We start from the raw sequence: 5546 nt of genomic DNA, 5'->3' as shown, positions 1-5546 counted from the left end.
AGTTGGAAAGAATGTATGATGAAAACATGATCACCTATTTGCCTGTGGAATGAATCAGATAATATTTTTAAAGAAAATTTGCCACTTATTGTTATGAAAACACATGTCTGTGCTCTGAACCCAGCCTGGAGGATGCTCAGAGGAGGAAAGGTACTGAGGGCTAGGGGTCATCCCCAAGCAGATACTAGAGAAAGATCACAGGATCTAGGTTAATAATCAAGTACTGGTTCCTGCTCTGGGAACTTGTAAGCCTTCTGAGCCTTCTTGTACCCTTCACAGAGTGACTGTGAGGATGAAATGGGATTTTAGATGTAAAATGAATTTGCTGTCATTTCATTATTATCAAGAACACGCAGCACAGACCAGTCAGATCAGTTCCTGACCATCCCTCCATCCCTCAACACATATGCCATGTGCCAGTGGTGGAGAACTGCTGGTCATTCTAATCATCTTTAATCATGCTGCCATCTTCCTTCAATGGCTTTTCCTGCTTCATTTGCTTGGCCAGTGTCTACTGATTAATTAATTCATTGAATAGATGGATGTTTATTGAGCACCTACTATATGCGAACCACTATGATGGACACAGGTGACACAATGGTGAACCAAATAAAGATGGTTCCTGTCCTCATGAAGCCTATATTTTCTGAACCATTTAATACTCAGCTTAAATATGAAAGCCCTTTCTTGACATCTATTCTCCCTTAATAGTTTGAAGCACCCCTCCTTTTTGCCCTGCCAGTGTCTAAGGTTGTCTATGCTAGTGCCTTTAACATTGCACTAACTCTTGCACATTGTACTCCCTCTCTCCTCTCTTGCCCTCTCCCTCTTCACTTTGCCTTATCTCTTTCCTTTCTTCTGCTGTCTCCCTCCTGCTGGTAGCCATCTTCTTTGTCCTTCCTTGGAATTTATGAGGCCAATCCTTGAAATGAGAAGGTGACCACTTTCAAACAGATAAAAGAAAGCCCTTCTTTTCCAAGCAGATAATTAATTTGTGTCACTTGCTGGTCATGGAACATAATTGAGGCCAAGGGCTTAAGAAGGCCCTGAGAAGGAATTAGACATGTAGTCACACCAGGGGGAATGTATCACTCACTCTGCTTCCCCATCCCTGGAGGGTGAGGTTAGCGAGCCCTGCTCGAGCTGGGTGGCAAAGAGCTTCTCAGCCTATTAAGGGGCCTGGCCAGGCACAGTGTTCACTTACCACATAGTGAGCAGAGATAGAGCTTTCTGGCACCAGAGATGTGTAGTCAAAGATGCAGAATAAGACTGAAGCCCTGGATTCAAGTCCCGGGTCTGTCATTTTGCTAGCTAAATGATTCAGACACATTTCTTCTCCTCTCAAAGCCTCCAGTTCCTTGAAATCCAGGACTCCTGTGTGCTGCTCCTCCCTGGGCTGTGAGAGGCTCAGGAACTGTAGTAAGCTTGGGAGGATGAGAGAAGAGAAAAGGAAAGAGATAAGGCAAAGAAGGGAAGGAGAGGGCAAGAAAGGAGAGAGGGAGAAGGGTGTGCTAGAATTAGTGCAATGTTGACAGCTCAGCAAGCTGTAGACCTCAGGAAGGACCGAGTGCTCTGTGGATACTCATGGTGTCTCATCTTTGGGCGTAGTGAAAGGCTGGACACTGGAGAAGAGAGAATGTGTCCCAGAAGCTGAAAGTCTGACACTGGTCTTGGCTAAATGAAGCACGTTGCAGGCATAGGGTAACCTGAGGTGAGATCCTGGGAGCAGAAGTGATCTCAGCATCCCCTAGTTCCGTGCCTACATCCAGCACTAACCAGCTATGAGGTCTTGGCAAGTGCTTTTTCCTTTCTTGACTCTCAGTTTCTTCATCTGCAAAATAGGCATTGGGGGTTGGAGCAAGGAAAATTGTACCCAATCATGATTTTGTAAAGCATATTCCTTGGAACATCAGTGAAAAAATGTAAGGAAAAACAAATTCCAGGGGAAAAAAGAATTCAAGGAAAAGTTTGAGAAATGCTGCATAATATATATAGATAATCAGAGTGCAGATTAGCATATTGCATCTCTTGAAAATCCTATAATAGGGAGAACTGTTTTTGTTTAACCTGGTTTGGTCCAAATTTTGCAGAATCCTTTATTAACATCCTGTGGATATTGACACTACCAGGAACATGCCTTAGGAAACAATCTTTTGGGTTGTTATCCATCAAACATTTTGTGCCTCCACATAGCTCACAGGGCAATTCCATACAGACTGGGGAGGAAAGAGAGAGTTCAACCTCACACCAAGAATTGTCCAGTGGTTAGTGCTGTGCTGTTGTAGAATGTCCTGCTGAATCTGTCTGTGAGCTCCATTCTCCTGATTATGTTTGACTATGTTAAGTGACATCCAGCCAGCTTTCCCTGAACAGGCAACACCAGACAGAGCGAGGGGTGGTGGCAGGGGACCCAGCAGATAGGGATCCCCGAGTGGGTAATTGGGAGTGCATTGCAGCTGCAGGCATGTTGCTCATATTGCAAACTAGACCCCCAAGGCATTACGTGAGCTGAGTCTTGGGGAACTGGTAGCAGGTGTGTTAACCTGATATTCTACCTGTAGAATGCCAGCAAGGAGAGTGAAACTGTGCAATGCTACTCAGCATTTTCAAGACAAATGCATTGAGCACTTAAACTGTGCCCAGTACCACATTGATTATCGGTGGCAAAGAGGTGACTCAGACACAATCCCTGCCCATGAGGTACTCTCCAGCTGGGGGAGGGAGGAAACAGGAAGCAGCATGTAAATAGGTAATAGCACCTATTCTCAAGCACTGGTGTGCAGTAATAGCCTGGGAAGTTTGTTAGAAATTCAGGCACTTGGCCTCTGCCCCAGATCTTGAGGATCAGAATCTGTAGGGTGGAACCCAGGCATCTCTATATTATGATATGTGACTAGGTTGGGGAATTACTGAGTTACCTTGACAGGGTTAACGGGGAAAGCATGCACTTTGGAGTCAGAATGTCAGTGAGGTGACCCTGGACAAGTCCCCCTACCTCTCCAAGCCTGAGTTTCTTTATTGAAGATGCTTATGCATATGGAGGAGGATTACATTGGGACACCGTGTGTGAGGCACCTAGCACAGTGTCTGGCACCCCACAGTCAGGAAGTGGTGGCTATTCTTGGTACATTTATTGAAGTACAGTAGAAACAGAGAAAACAGAAAAATCACCCACTCAAGTCCACTTCCACAGGCCCTATCCCAAAAGGCAGGGAGGAGCCAGGCTGGGTTCTAGACATTTCTGGTACCAGCTGGAGCAGGGCACGCTGAGTGCCGGCATTGCTATAAAGAGATACCATTTAATTGCAGAAGGTGACATTGGGCCCAACACTTCAGCGCTTTTTACAAGGGGGAGTTTGAGAGACTTCTGGAGTTCGGCAGAGCTGCATGGCTCTATTTAGCCAAGATCCAAATTCCCGTTACAGCAGCTCTTTTGGTCTGATTCACACATTTAGTAGCAAAGCATTCACTTCCTTACAGCAATATTAATTTCCTGTGGGCATGCCTTATTGCCTTTGCTAGGTCCTTACGGCCAAGGTCTGAACATTTGACACCTCTTCTATCCCTCACCTAGTGCTGTGCAAACAATAGATACTCAATAAAAATTTGTGCCTAATTGATAATTGATCTGTTGCACTGGGGAGGGCAGATGTCAGCTGTGGCTGTTTTGTCTTCAATTTGGGTTCATTTTCACCTTTAAAGAGCTTGTGCATTATTATATTATCATATTATGCAAACCAAATATCCTAAAAAGACTGATAGTTAACAAACAGACTAGTAGATTAGGGATTACCTGTGGGATTCATCCTAATCAACCAGCCTACTTATCTGCCTGTGATCAGGGCCCCGAATCTTTATCATTCAGCTGAGTGAAGCAACATACCAGGTTCCCAGAGGAGTAGAACGGGATTTCAATTACATATCCATTTTTTTTTTTATCACTTCACTGAAATAACATGGGCTCCCTGGCTCTAAATTGCTAAAAACCAGTTTAAGTTAAGGAGGCAAATAGACACTAATTACAGAGCAAAGAGGAGTCCAACGCACCAAGGCGCTTGGCTGAGATGCCTTCCGTCACTTCCTCCAATGTGAAGCTGGAAGAAATTGAAGTCTCCTCCTCTCCTGCTTTCCCACTCTCAGGAACCCCTCCCCTCAAGGGGTAGGAGTTTGGGGGGCGGGGTACAAAAGAGCCATCTGTGGAGAGAAGTTTGGATGTTCCTCTTTTAGCCCTGGCAAGCTATTAACTTGAAGACCATGGCATCTGTTTCTTTTGTATAATAATCTGTGTCGTTGTCTACATACTTATCTATTTAGAGGCACCCTCAAATCCTAATCAGTACTGCAGCTTCCCAGTGAAAAGAGTAATAATGCATAGGCATTAGGTGACCTGAATCCTGCCTGTTCCATGATCAAATGGTTACATGACCTTCACCTTGGACAAGTCACTTCACCGCTTGGGCTTCAGTTTCCTCTTTTGTACATGATGAGCCGGTCAATATTTGAATAGCTCTACAGGGGGAAAAAGCCCTTATTTGTAGCTTTTGCCAATTTCCTTGGTGTAAATACTCCTACCATGGCTGATTTCAACCTGTCACCCTGAAGTTAATGAACCTGGAGTCGAGAAGAAAGGCACACAATCCACTCTCCGGGGGCTGGTGTGAGACGGCTTCTGCAACCACCGGCTGAGATCTCTTCCAGCTCTTACATCAAAAGATAATGTGATGGCCATACAGAGCTCATTTAGTCTCTCTGCCTGTCTGGGTTAGATACATATCTCCACTTCTTAAAGGGGAAATTAATTGGTGGGTAACAAGAAAATAACCTCATTTCTGTCCCTTTCAGACATGGGGGAAGAGTAAAGAAAGCAATATTTTCAACATGTGATAAAAAAATACACGATTTCATTCATTATTTATATCAGTATTTAATGAATATGTAATAACATTTATTAATGTAATAATCACATTCAAACCTTCGTTGAATAAAAAAAATTCTGCTTTTTTGCCTTTGTGAAGAGAAGGTGGAACATTTATTGCATACAAAGGGAGTTTGACAAAACACTTTCCCCCGATCTGTCACACCCAAGTCCACGTCAGCAAATGCTTGGTGGCTGAGCACTGACAAAACTCCTTGGCCATGGAGGTTTTCCCTTTTCACAAAAGGCAGAGTTCTGGCAGTCAGGCACTGAGTACTAAGCCAGCCATTCAAGATTCTCCCAACACACCCCATGTTACTTGTCCCTCCAAGTATTTGCCCATTTCAAATGCCTTGTCCTCCAGCTTTACTGCAGGTCCTTCCCTACCTTCTAGAGCATCTTCCTCTGACCCACCATGGCACTTTGACCTTTCTTATGGCACGTGTCTTATCCTGCCTTGACTGCAGTCATTAGTGCATTTGTCCTATTGCTAACCAGATTGTGAGCATCTTGAAGGAAGAGGTTAGGTCTTATTAATCATTTTTTTAATTTCCTGCAGTGTGCTTAATAAATGCTTTTGGAATTTTAATTGAATTTGTATGACTAGAAGGTGATGTCGTTCTATAATCTA

Source organism: Homo sapiens, chromosome 11 (assembly GCF_000001405.40).
Source record: "Homo sapiens chromosome 11, GRCh38.p14 Primary Assembly".
In the NCBI taxonomy this organism is placed as follows: domain Eukaryota; kingdom Metazoa; phylum Chordata; class Mammalia; order Primates; family Hominidae; genus Homo; species Homo sapiens.
The sequence above is the reverse complement of the archived record's forward strand: the minus strand, read 5'-3'. Positions refer to the sequence as shown.